Genomic DNA, 13,037 nt, shown 5'->3' with positions numbered 1-13,037 from the left:
ATGCGAGTGTTATACGCATCCATAGTGTCAGCTACTCTCTAATATTCATAAGCCAATGATTCACACATCTATTGCCAGCCTTCATCTCCATCTGGGCTTCCAGACCTATTCATCTACATTTTAAATTAATTATTTATTATTTTTATTTACTTATTTTTGAGACAGGGCCTCGCTTTGTTGCCCAGGCTGGAATGCAGTGGTGTGATCACAGCTCACTGCAGCCTCGACCTCCGAGGCTCAATTGATCCTCCTACCTCAGCCTTCTGAGTAGCTGGGACTATAGGTGTGTGCCACCACGCCTGGCTAATTTTCTTGGTTTTTTGTTTTTTGTTTTTTGTTTTTGTAAAGATGGAGTTTTGCCATGTTGCCCAGGCTGGTCTCAAACTAGGCTCAAGCAATCCACATGCCTTGGCCTCCCAAGTACCTGGGACTACAGGTGTCTACCACCACACCTGGCTTCACCCACACTTTTATCTCCAATAAAATGCAACATCTCTAAACTCAACATCCTCCTCGAAGCTCTGATCCTCTTCCTATAATCCTATTTCAGGGGATGACACCGCCATCTGGCCATAGCCTGTATATCATCCTGATCTCTCCCCCGCCTTCCGCATGTCTCACATCCAGCTGCTACTAAATCATGTCAGCTCTGCCCCATGCATACTGCCTGTCCTCCTCCTTCCCCAAGGCCACCATACCGGCACTTGTGCCTTCTGAGACCTGCCTTCCAGAGGAGTGCACATGCCAGGAGTGTTCAGTGGGCACAAGTGGTTTTATTGTTTCTGCCCGGAAGAGGAAGCCCTGGCAGCAGCAGGGACACAGAGAGGACACGGCGCTGCATCCTGCCGGCAGTGTGGATGCTGGTGGCAGGAGTCCAGGACTGTGAAGAGCTGTCAGCATATGAGCTGGAGCCGCTGAGGAGCTGCACCTAGGCCTGCAGAGGCCACCAGCTTGAGAAGGGGGTCCCAGCCTCACCGATGCCGCTTTCGGATGCTCTGCAGCTCCTGGTAGATGGTGCTGAAGCTGGGCCGCTGCCCAGGCTCATAGGCCCAGCACTGCTCCATGAGCCTGAACACGGCATCAGGACACAGCTCTGGGCAGGGCAGACGGCCCCCTGTGAGGAGAGGCACAGCACACCAGGCATGAGGAGGGAGTTTGAGGGTCCTCGGCAGACTCTGGGGGATACCATGAGCCATAGGAGCTGCTTAAGATGCACTGTTCTGAAGGATGCACTGTTCTCCACCAAGGGCCCAAAGGACAAAGAGGCCTGGCTTCTGATCCTAATCCTACCACGTGCTAGCTGTGTCCCCTCTGCCAGCCTGTTTTTCCATCTGAGAAAGGGACATATTAATCCCTACCACACATGTAGTGATGAGCAAATGAAATAACATGTGACCTAGCACAGACCAGGTGCTCACTCAGTAGTAGCTACAGGGATATTCTATTTTTTTTTTTCTTTTTCTGAGATGGAGTCTTGCTCTGTCACCCACGCTGGAATGCAGTGGTGTGATCTCAGCTCACTGCAACCTCCACCTCCCAGGTTCAAGCGATTCTTGTGCCTCAGCCTCCCAAGTAGCTGGGATTACAGGCTTGCACCACTACACCTCGCTAATTTTTTGTATTTTTAGTAGAGACAGGTTTTGCCATGTTGGCCAGGCTAGTGTCAAACTCCTAGACTCAAGTGATCCACCTTCCTCAGCCTCCCAAAATGTTGAAATTACAGGCGTGAGCCACTGCGCCCAGGTTTTTTTCTTTTTCGAGTCAAGGTCTCTCTCTCTCTCTGTCACCCAGGTTGGGGTGCAGTGGCATGATCTCAGCTCACTGCAACCTCCACCTCCCGGGCTCCAGTGATCCTCCCACCTCAGCCTCCCGAGTAGCAGGGACTACAGGCGCATGTCACCACACCCAGCTAATTTTTGTATTTTTTGTTTTTTGGTTTTTTTTGAGATGGAGTTTCACTCTTGTCGCCCAGGCTGGAGTGCAGTGGCACAATCTCGGCTCACTGCAGCCTCCGCCTCCTGGGTTCAAGCAATTCTCCCACCTCAGCCTCCCAAGTAGCTGGGATTACAGGCACGTGCCACCATGCCTGGCTAATTTTTGTATTTTTAGTAGAGATGGGGTTTCACCATGTTGGTCTGGCTGGTCTCAAACTCCTGACCACAGGTGATCCACCTGCCTCGGCCTCCCAAAGTGCTGGGATTACAGGTGTGAGCCACCGTGCCCAGTCTATTTTTGTATTTTTTGTACAGATGGAGTTTCACTGTGTTGTCCAAGCTGATCTTGAACTCCTGGGCTCAAGTGATCCACCCAGCTCAGCCTCCCAAAGTGCTGGGATGACAGGCGTGAGCAACTGGCCAGGTTATTCTTATTCTGCCTGGTGGGAAGGTTGGCATTAAGGGAGTTAGAAGAGTCCGGCTGGAGCATCTGGAAGAGGGTGCAGCCTGAGGCTGCTGTCATCACAGGGTGCTTACCCTTCTCCACAAACTCCCGTGTCTGCTGATTGCTGAGGTTGGGATAGGGGGAGGCCCCCAGGCTGAAGGTCTCCCAGAGCAAGATGCCAAAGCTCCACACGTCGCTTTCGGAGGAGTAGCGGCCTGCAGAGGAGGCGAGGAGGTGAGGCAGCGTGAGTGCACCCTCCCTGGGGCCAGGGCGAGGCAGCCGGCAGGACCCAGGCCTGGCCTCTGGCCATGGAGTCCAGGGTAGACAGGGACTAGGTACCGTAGTTAAGGGCCTCAGGTGCGGTCCACTTCACGGGGACTTGTCTGAGGCCCCCTGAGGCTGCATAGACCCCATCGGCTTCCTCTCGGGACATCCCAAAGTCACTGATCTTCAGGACATTCTTCTCTGTCACCAGGCAGTTCCGAGCAGCCAGGTCCCTGGGTGAGACAGGGCAGGGGCTCATTTGGCCAACAGTCGCCTGCCCAGCCCTGGCTGAACACTCTAGGAAAGCCAAGGACAAAAGCTGCTCCCGGCCCTGGGCACCCCTGTCTACCACAGAGGCCAACTCCCCCTCTGGAGCTGATGCCTGATGGTCCAGCGGGGGGCCCTAGGGGTATAGGTACCTCTTGACTCTGGTCGGGGGTGTTGGCAGGGCCCGTGGCCACCGCCCACTCACCGGTGGATGCAGCACTTGCTCTCCAGGTACTCCATGCCAGCAGCTGCATCCCCCACCATCTGCAGCAGAGTCTTCACCCGCAGGCGGGCCCCCTCCGTGCGGAGGAAGGTCAGGAAGTCGCCCCCTGCAGGTGGGGAGGACCCCTGCTGAGCCTCCTGAGGTAAGGCTGCCACCTGACCAGGCTGCGCGCCCTACCTGGAGCTCAGCGCCCCGCGCTCACCCTGCACAAGCTCCATGACGATGTAGATGGGCTGCTTCTGGGTGCAGACACCAATGAGACGCACGATGTTGGGGTGGCTGTACTGCTTCAGGATCCTGGAGGGCACTGCTGCTCAGGATCTACGTGGCCAGGCCCGCCTCCCCAGGGCCCCCCAGGGATGATGGGAGAAGAGCTTGGCCTCCAAGGCCAGCAGACCCGGACGTGTGACCTGGGGCAGCCTCTACCCTTCGGCACTATAAGGGGGTACTACCCGCAATGGGGGGCCTCGAGGACTAAACACCACCACGGTGGTCAAGCACTTCACACTGTGCCATGCAGTGTAACCTCTGTGTATGCGGGACCCGTGGTGATCATTAGTTTATCACCCACCTCGCTTCCTGTAGAAACTTGGCCTTGAGGTCAGGTGGGAGCGTCTCTCGACAAGACTTCACCGCCACCAGGGTGTTGTCGGCTCGCAGGCGTCCGCTGAACACTTCGCCAAAGTTCCCCTGAAACGGTCTTGGGCTCCTACCACGGCCTTCCCAGTCCCGCAGTTCTCTTCTCCGCTTCCTACCCATTCTGCTTCCTACCCCTGGGTGAGGGGCCCCCGTGTTCGGACCCCTCACCCAGGCTCTCTGGGAGTTTGACCCTCGCTGGGGAACCTAGAGAGCACATGGGGCAGGCAGGGAAAGTTGCCTCCGATGTGCCACCCTTCCTGAGAGAAGTGACATGGAAATCCAAAAATCACTCTCCCTTGGGTTTGAAAAGCATTCTGATTTTTAGGACAGTGACTTCTTCCCTAAACAGGTATCTTATGGCTTACAGTAACAGGGTGTCTCCCTGCGTGCACACAAGAGCTCGATGGGGGCGGCCTGGGTGGGGGTGATGAGGTCAGGGTGCTGGCAGAGCTGTCTGCTGGGAGTTTTCAGGGTAGGTACTGTCCCGTTTCCTGGAGGATGGTGTGTGGTGGGGGCTGGGCAGGGAGTCGGGGTACAAGTGGGGAATCAGATGGGGCAGGGAGGTCTCTGGGTGGTAGGGCAGGGGGCCCAGGCGCGACTCAGGAGAAGTCGCCAGCGACAAGGAGGCCAGCAGAGGCGCACTCACCCGTCCAATCTGCTCACCCAACACCAGGTCCTCATGGTTCAGCACCCACTTGTCCTGGGGAAGAGAGGAGACAGGGGATCAGAAGTCTGAAGAAAAGGGGTGCTGGGCCCTTAGAAGGGCTGTGTCCTCCATTTTTTGGCGCCTCCATATGTGACCAGGGGTGGGACCACGTGGGGAGCACACTGAGATGACTACGGGGTCCAGGCAGGTGCCCTGACCAGGTAAGCACCAACCTGGTGTGTACAGCCCATGGCATAGGAGTGGCCCTGACATTCCAAACCTAGAGCAAGGCTGGCCCTGAGGGTCACTCACTCTGCATCTTGTATGTAGACGGAGGGCCTGGAAAGCCCTTTCTGCTCAGACGCTGGGTGGGCCTGACCCACACTCCCCAAGCCCTGCCACAGGTGGCATGGGCCAGGCTGGGTGCAGGCTCACCTTGGGCACAGCCCTGTGCAGGACAACACCACTCTTCTTGGTGAGGGGCTGCTGGGTGCTCAGTAGGTGGTCGATGAGCAAAGGAATGCTAGGAAAGCCTTCCCCTTCCAGTCGGTACAGGTTCTGCAGGGCAGGGGACCCGGGGTCAGCAGCCTCCATTCTGAGGGGGCGTGAGCCCTGGGAGGGGGAAAGGGAGAGCAGCAGGGGAGAAAGGGCCTGCCCAGGACCAGGGGCAGAGAGACCTCCAGAAAAGATGCCATCTGATGGCACATGACATCCTGCTGCCCCACCAGGGGAGGACTCACACTTAAGCCTCTATTTTGTTGCAGGGACAGGGTGGTCTCTGTGGCCCCTTCCAGCCAGCCCTGCTAGGGAGGCATCCAAGACCTGGCAGCTACCCCCTACCCTGAAAGGCCATTTCCCTTGGGGAAGGGAAGGGAGGGGAAGAGTGAGGCCTGGAAGGCTCGGGTCCCAGCCCCACTCACATCCAAGGACTGGATGATGAAGTGCCGGGGCAGACCATCCCACAGCACCGACAGCACGTACTCCTGCTTGCCCTGGCTCTCCCGCACCAGGAAGTCCCCAGAGTGCACCAGCAGCTCAGCCACCTCTGCCCTCGGGATGGCCCCGTGGTACCACAGCTGCTCATGCAGGGGCTTCTGCACCTCCGGAATGAGCTGCAGCGGTGGAGGGAGCTGGGCAAGGGAGGATCGAGGAGGAGTCACTTAACCACCTTGTTGAAGAGGCCGTGGGGGCAGCCGGGGGTCTCTCTCTCCCCCCTATATGCCCTCAGCCCTTACAACCATGGAGTGGCATGCAGAGCCATCCACAGGCCCCTGGAGTGGGCACTGGACTGGCCCAGGCTCACGCTGGGCAGAGCTGGGAAGGGAAGCCCAGGCAGGAAGACCCCAAACCAAGCTGGTGCCTCCTCCTCCAGGCCACAGGCCCCCAACCCGCTCCTGAAGCAGGGAGAGCCATGGAATAGTCGAGGTTGCTGGTCCCTTTAGCACACTGGGGCGATGGAAAGGGAGGGGTCACAGGGGCAGGGTCTGGGGACATCTGCAGCCTGGAATCCCAGGGAAGAGAGGAACTTCCCAATACAAGCAGCCTGGGCAGAGCCTCCTCTCTAGGACATCCCAGTGATTAAACTCGAAACACAACAGTAGGGGGGCCCAGGCTGGGCGCCACTCACCGAGAACTTGGGGCGGAAGATTCCTGAGATGTGGCTCTTAAGGATCTCCAGCGTGGGTGTCCTTCCCCCCTCTCGCTCCTGCTCCTGAGGCCAGGGACAGACGTCAGCGGGTGGCCAGGCTTAGGGAGGGGGAGGGCGAAAATGAGGAGCGCAGCCCCAGGTGGGCAGGCCGGTGGCGGGCAGCGGCCGCGGATGGGGCAGCTCACCGAGGACGACGTGGAGTGGCGGTCATCCTGCAGGAGCAGCACAGGCGGGGGCTCGCCGGGGCCCAGGTGCTCCAGCTTGGTCTGCAGCAACTCCTGCTGGGCCTGCAGCTTGGCCTGGCTGCACAGCGCTACCTGCAGCCCCTGCAGTGCTTCTTGCAGCACTTGCCTCTTGCCCAGCAGCTGCACCCTGCAGGCAGGGGCGGGTGGGAGGGTGGATGAGAATAAGGGCTCGGTCTGCGGCGGGTAGCCAGCAGCAGTTAGGGTAGGTAGGAGGGAGGGAGGCCCAGGAGGCTGCTGCAGGCAGGGGCCCACTCACCGCTCCCGGGGGTGGGTGTTCTCCTCTTCATTCCGGAGCTCCTGTTGCAGCTGCGTAACCATCTCCTGCCGCCTGAACACCATCTCGGTGGCCACAGCCAGCTCATCTGTCACTGAGGTCAGCCTGCACCCAAGAGAAGGGCAGCATTAGAACCGAGCCCTCCTGCCCCCTCAACCCAGGTCCAGTGCATCCCTGTAGAGCCAAGCAAGCCCGGCCACCTGGTGACAGCTCTGTGTGGACAGTCTCCACGACCTAGCCCTGCCTACATAAACACTCGTGGTCTGCTGGGAGCCCCGCCGCAGCCCAGGTGCAAAGCCACCACCCACGTGTGCTGCACGCTCTCCACAGTCAGCTCGTTCAGCTGGAGCTCCCCAGGCTCCAGCGGTTCACCCTCCTCAAGCAGTGACTCATCGAACGTGACACAGGGTGGGACGTCAGGTGCGGACCTGTGGGGGACAGCGCCCCGTCAGTGGACAGGCCAGCAGCCCTGGGCCCAGCAGGAGCAAGGACGGGGCTTACCCATACTGTCGCAGGAAGCCTTGGTACTCAGCCTCAGGCTGGATGCGGGCAGCAGCTGCAGCCATCTCCCGGTGAATGGCCACCACCTCATCCTGCACCAGGCTGCTAATCTCCAGGTATTCCTGCAGGATCTCCTTCCTGCCCCCGAGACGGGATCCCCAGTCAGGGGAGCCTCAGGCTGGGCAAGGCTGGGCAGTTCAGGCCTAGGACCCTGGGTTTGGAGTCAGGGCTGGGGTTGACCCCTGCCTCACTTCGAGCTAGCCATGCCACTCTAGGCAAATTATTTAACCTCTCCCTAATCTTCTATTTCCTGATATATATAAGAGGGACACTGGCAGTTGTAATAAGGATCCAGTGGGCCAGGCACAGTGGCTCACGCCTATAATACCAACACTGGGAGGTCGAGGCGGGTGGATTGCCTGAGGTCAGTTCGAGACCAGCCTGGCTAACGTGGTGAAACCCCATCTCTACTGAAAAAGCAAATACAAAAATTAGCCAGGCATGGTGGCACATGCCTGTAGTCCCAGCTACTTGGCTACTCGGGAGGCTGAGGCAAGAGAATCGCTTGAGCCTGGGAGGTGGAGGTTGCAGTGAGCCAAGATCGCGCCACTGCACTCCAGCCTGGCGAAAGAATGAGACTACATCTCTAAATAAATAAATAAATAAATAAATAAATAAATAAATAAATAAATAAATGAACTGCTATCCTTGTCTCCTAAACCTCTTCTTCCCACAGCCTTCCCTACATAAGTTAACAGCCACTCCATCTTCCAGCTGCTCCAGGCCAAATCCCCAGAGTGACCCCTGACTCCTCTATTTCACGCCCCACTTCCAATCCATAGGGAAATCCCACTGGCTTCACCTTCCAGGACCTGACCGCGCCTCACCTCCATTGCTACCTCCCCGTCCTAGTGGCCAAAAGCTTGGATCTGGATTATGGCAAGAGCCTGCTCTCTGGCCTCCCAGCTTCTGTCCTTGCTCCCTGAAGTCTATTTGCAGCACAGCAGCCAGAGTGGCCTTATTAAAACAGAGGTCAGGGCTGGGCATGGTGGCTCATGCCTGTAATCCCGGCACTTTGGGAGGCAGAGGCAGGCAAATCGCTTTGAGCCCAGGAATTAGAGACTAGCCTGGGCAACATGGTGAAACCCCATCTCTACTAAAAATACAAAAATTAGCTGGGTGTGGTGGCGCATGCCCGTAGTTCCAGCTACTCGGGAGGCTGAGGCAGGGGAATCACTTGAACCTGGGAGGCGGAGGTTGCAGTAAGCCGAGATCATGCCACTGCACTCTAGCCTGGGCGGCAGAGCGAGACTCTGACTCAAAAAAAGTTAAAACAAAATGAAACAAAAAAACAGAGGTCAGATCATGCCATTCTTGTTCACCCAGAGCCAAAGTCCTCACCATGGCCCTGCTAGACCCTCTATCACCCAGTAGCCCTTGACGCCTGCCTCCTCCAGCCTCGTGTATGACTCTCCCCCTCCCTCACTCTCAGAGGCACCACTGGTTCCTGGCTATTAGTCCCTGGTACTCTCCTACCTCAAGGCCTGTGTAATTGCTGTCCTCCTTTCTGGAATGGTCTTTCTCCAAATAGCCCCATGATTCACTCCCGTACCCCTCTCAGGGGCCTCTTTGAATGTCACCTCTCAAGAGGCTTTCCCAGATCACTCTATGGACAACTGTCACCTCCTCCCTTGCCTCCGTGCTCCCAGGTCCCGATCCACTTCTCTTGCTTTATTTTTCTCCATGGCTCTTAGTGCTCCTCACATCCTCACTCCACTAACACGAAAGATCCCTGAGGACAGATGTTTTTGTCTACCATCGTTCTCTGGTATAATCCAGAGCCCAGAACAGTGCTCAATGAATGTAATAAAACCCTGGAATAATGAGACCCTGGAATAGTGTAATTCAGAGGTAAGTTGCCTGTTTCCAATCCTTGGCCCAGGTCCCGTTCTCATGTGGTTACATGGCCAGCACCTTCCCAGCAATGGATTTTCTGGGTCCTGCCTCTGGGCCTGATGGCTGGGCTTAGGGCTGCTCAAGGGTGGGGGCCAGGGGACGGGGCTGCGGGCTTACAGGATGCAAGCCATCTCCTCGTGCAGGTCCTGCAGTGACCGCAGCAGGCCGGGCAGCAGGAGCTGGTGGTGGTGCTGGTGGTGTAGCTGCGCAGCCCGCACGCCCAGCACATAGCGGTTGTGGTGAGCAAAGAGCTTCCACAGGCTGCGCACATACTTGTCCTTAGCCTTGTCACGGTCCTTGTCTGCCAGAAGGGGGGCAAGGGGTATAGATGACAGCATGGAGGCCCAGGCAGCCCCCACTCTCTGGGTACCCAAGGACAGGTCAGCACTGGCTTCGGATTCCCTCCCTGCCAGCAAGGGAAGCCACGAACCTTTGCTGGCCTCCTGGTACTTGCGCTTGGCTTGGGCACTGTCCCGTGCCAGAGCTCGGTACTGGCTCTTCAGCTTCTCAATGTCCTGGCTGTGGGTCTAGGGAGAGAGGAGAGGCCAGTGTGGGGCAGCAGGTCCCCAGTTGTGGAAGATTCTTGCCTGGGGTGAAGCCCTGGAAAGGTCCTGTCGTCAGGCAAGGAGCACCTGGAGACTTCTGGGAAAGCTGGCTGCTGACGTGAGAGTCAAAGATCAGAGAGCCTGTTAAAGACAGACCCCTTGGGGAGGCAAAGAGGTAGACTACAGGCTACAATGGTCCCTCCTTGGACTGACAGTGGTAGCCTGGTGGCAGGCAGGGCCAGTTGCAGGTGTGCACGGCCTGTGCAGTCACACGGGGCTCCACATGTAGAAGGGCCCTGTGCTTGGTTTCATTCTCCATTATTGCCACCTGGAAATTCCTAGCAATCTTTTAACAAAGACCCCCACAATTTCACTTTGCACTGGGTCCTGCAAATTATGTTCTTGGCAGTAGGAATAGATGACAGCCCGAGATCAGTGTTCTCGTCCCAGTTCTCCTGTTTATGTGCTGGGATATGTTGGGCAAGCGCCCAACCTCAGTTTCCCCATCTGTAACTGAGCTAGATTCCTCGACTAGATCAGTCTTTTTCTTAAAGGGCCAGATAGTAAATAAATATTTTACGCTTGTAGGCCATAGAGCCTCTGTCACAATTACTCAACTCTGTCATTGTAGTCACAGACAATATGAAAACAAAAGGGCATAGCTGTGTTCCAGCAAAACTTTATAAAAATGGGCCCACCCTTGAATCAGATGATCTTTTGGGGCGAGGAATGGGGCCAGGGTGGCCACCAGGGGCCGCTGTGGGTCCATGGCAAGGCTGGGCTCTGCACTTGAGGAAGGGGTGTGGTGCAGGGAGGGTGACCAGCACACTGAATGGGGGCACTAGGCTCCCAGATAAATAGTTCCAAATCACACAGCCTCTAGACTGAGGAGCTGGGTGGGATTCAAACCTAGGCAGGCTGACTTCACGGCCCGAATCCTCGACCTTCGGGGGGCCATGCTGCTGCCCAGTCTCTGGGGCCCTGAGAGGAGGCTGCCTAGGTCGAAGGCAAACAGACTGACCCTCATTCCTCTCCCTGACTCTCAGAACCCAGAGCCAGATGGCACAGTGTGGAGGCGAGTACCGATTCTGAGCTTCTCCCAGGCACGTGACCGGTCACTCATCCTTACACTCCCAGCACTTTGCCCAGGCACAGAAAAAGCACAGAGAGGCCTTGCTGCAAGCCAGCTCAACGTAGGGGAAGGAAGAGAGGAAGCTGCATCAAGGTTAGAGCAAGCCAGGCCTGCGGTCAGGGACTTACACTTCCCCAGTGAATCCAGGGCCTCTTGTGCAAAACAACCCCTTCGAGGCTCAAAATTTAGACAGAAATGACCGAAGCCCCAGTGCTGCCCGCTCACCTTGGTGAGCTCCTGCTGCAGCTGCTGCCACTGCTCGCTGTAGGTCTTGCGAAGCTGCTGCCGTTCCCGGATGAGCAGGCTCAGCTTGCTCAGGGGCCCTGAGTTCAGATCCTCTGCGTGCTGCCGCAGCAAGCGGCTCAGGCCCTCAGTTTGGCTGGTGATCTCAGCCCAGGACTATACAGCACAGATGGGGGAGGCAGGGAGGGGGGCACAATGGCTCCCAAGCATTGGCCTGCCAGATCTCCAGCCACTGCCCCAGAGGGCCCCCAGGAGAGGAAGGAGAAGGCAGATACAGCCAGCACCCACCAGAGTCCCATAGAGACCCACCTGACTGATGGGGCTGTCAGGGCTGATGGCCCGGCTCTGGCCCCCACTGTCCTGCAGGGACATGTGGTGAAGCAGTCCTGCATACTCCCTGTCACTCTTGACCCGCTGGGCCATCCACTTTCTCATGCCCTCCAGTAGACGAAGCTCGGCCTCCTGCATTTGCTGCAGGACCCCGTGGCCCTGGGGGCTGCACAGCTCGGAAGAGAAGCCCATAGTGCTGTTCTGGGGACAGAAAAGGGGCCATCCCTGGAGGCAAGGCAGCAGCTGGAGACGGAGGCATGGGACGAGGAGACTGGGGACTGTAGGGTCAGGATGGACTGCAGACGGGGAGGAGGTGGGGTCCTGCCTCGCTCACACGCAGCCATGGGTACCCAGCAGCAGCCTGGCCTGGGGACTGGCCCTCATTGCTTCCTTAGCGTCAGGGTCTCCTCCGCACGTTCGGGAACAGGAGCCAACCTGGAGCCTCCCTCCCCAGGCCCTTCCACCCACCACCCCTTACAGGGACACCCTTGCCCAGGTCCTCGACAGGCCAAGCCTGCCCCAGCTGAAGCCTCAGGCGCCCACAGCCTGAGCCCTGCCCCTGCGGCCATCCCCGCCCTTCCGCGGCCCCTACCCCCACCTGGGTGGGTCTCTGGCCCTCGGAACGCCTGCTCTGCCCCTGCCTGCCGCGCCCCCAGCTCCCACCGCTCCTCCAGGCCCCGGGGCTAGAGGTACCCGCACGGGCAGCTGCTCCTGGGACGGCCTCGGACCGACTCAGGCCCGGTGCGGACCCCGGCCAGTTCCTGATTCCGCGCTTCCTCCTCCCGCGGTTTCAGTTGGCCCAGGCCCCGGGGCGGGCCTGTGGAGGGGAAGGGGCGGGCGGGACCGGCCCGACCGCCCCGACGCCTGCCAGCCCCCCTGCTCCGCGCTGGGCCGCAGCCTCTAGCCGGCCGCACGGCCACGGAAACGGAAGGGAGGAGGGGGCCGGGAAAGAATGGCCCAGCCAAGAGCCGCCCGCGCCCCGCAGGCCCCAGGGCCCGGCAGCGCCCCGGGAACACCGGGAAGGGGCGCAAGGTGGGGGTCAGGAGGGGGAGCCCAGGGCGAGGCCCCAGGCAGATGCTGGGCCCAGGGAAGCCCAGGGTGTCCGCGGGTACTGAGGGGAGGCGCGCAGTCCTAGCACCAGGCCAGGGCCACCGCAGAAGAGAAAGAGGGAACCCTGGTCCCAGCCCTCCCCACCTCACGGAATTCCCTAAGGAGAGGCTCAGGCGCCAGCTTCCATTTGAATAAAATTTCCAAGTAAATATCCCGAACAGAGACTGCTTCTCGGATACAGATCCTAGTGGTTTTGTCCCCATCCTCCTACCCCCAGGCAGGGGCTTCCTGTCCCAAGGGAGACCTGGGGAAATCAAGGGGCAGGGGTTGGGGAGCGGACAGGCGTGGAGTTTTCCATTTGGGACTCAGGCTCCCCACAAGAAGTCATCTTGATTCAGTCAGGCCTCCCTCCACCTTAGGCCTCAGCCCTATAGCCTGTGGCGACCAGATCACTTCAGCCCAGGAAGACACAATAGGCCCAGTTCTTCACACTGCTGGAAACCAGGACTTTGGGAGTTTAGTGCTCAGCTCCTGAGGACCAGGGGTCACCAGCCCCACCCCAGGGGCACCAGCTCCTCCACTAGGGGCTGGCGCATCCTCCCGCCCCTTGGAGGACTTTGGCCTTCTGACTTGGGCCCACATCCAGGCAGGCAGGCCACTGTGTAGGCCTAACTGGCCCCCTATCCTCAGCTGCG

The 13,037-nt window shown here is 58.6% G+C and overlaps 1 protein-coding gene across 19 annotated transcripts, besides 3 other annotated features; it reads right to left on the bottom strand.

The window, feature by feature from the left end:
• On the bottom strand, positions 754-12,026 carry FES (FES proto-oncogene, tyrosine kinase). 19 transcript variants are annotated; one of them, XM_017022009.3, is made up of 19 exons: positions 11,891-12,026; positions 11,272-11,493; positions 10,945-11,118; positions 9,473-9,569; positions 9,160-9,343; positions 7,087-7,224; positions 6,894-7,013; positions 6,568-6,690; positions 6,252-6,438; positions 6,046-6,129; positions 5,339-5,548; positions 4,854-4,976; positions 4,419-4,472; positions 3,705-3,823; positions 3,336-3,430; positions 3,116-3,239; positions 2,719-2,876; positions 2,472-2,594; positions 754-1,114 (listed from the first exon to the last, which is right to left on the bottom strand). In XM_017022009.3, exons 2-19 carry the CDS (start codon positions 11,482-11,484, stop codon positions 972-974), a joined length of 2,469 nt encoding a protein of 822 aa, XP_016877498.1. In that variant the 5' UTR covers positions 11,485-11,493; positions 11,891-12,026; the 3' UTR covers positions 754-971. The 19 variants fall into 19 exon arrangements, with proteins under 19 accessions (XP_016877498.1, XP_047288189.1, NP_001996.1 ...); XM_047432233.1 differs by having other exon boundaries at positions 11,272-11,488; NM_002005.4 differs by having other exon boundaries at positions 11,986-12,026.
• Positions 10,881-11,310: an enhancer, noted in NCBI's record as "active region_10099". NCBI's record gives its function as "activates an Ori minimal core promoter by ATAC-STARR-seq in GM12878 lymphoblastoid cells {active_cell/tissue: GM12878}" and the evidence as "EXISTENCE:reporter gene assay evidence [ECO:0000049][PMID:35858748]".
• Positions 11,941-12,450: a silencer, noted in NCBI's record as "silent region_6830". NCBI's record gives its function as "represses an Ori minimal core promoter by ATAC-STARR-seq in GM12878 lymphoblastoid cells {active_cell/tissue: GM12878}" and the evidence as "EXISTENCE:reporter gene assay evidence [ECO:0000049][PMID:35858748]".
• Positions 12,848-12,977: an enhancer, noted in NCBI's record as "active region_10098". NCBI's record gives its function as "activates an Ori minimal core promoter by ATAC-STARR-seq in GM12878 lymphoblastoid cells {active_cell/tissue: GM12878}" and the evidence as "EXISTENCE:reporter gene assay evidence [ECO:0000049][PMID:35858748]".

Source organism: Homo sapiens, chromosome 15 (genome assembly GCF_000001405.40).
Source record: "Homo sapiens chromosome 15, GRCh38.p14 Primary Assembly".
NCBI lineage: Eukaryota > Metazoa > Chordata > Mammalia > Primates > Hominidae > Homo > Homo sapiens.
The sequence above is the reverse complement of the archived record's forward strand: the minus strand, read 5'-3'. Positions and strand labels throughout refer to the sequence as shown.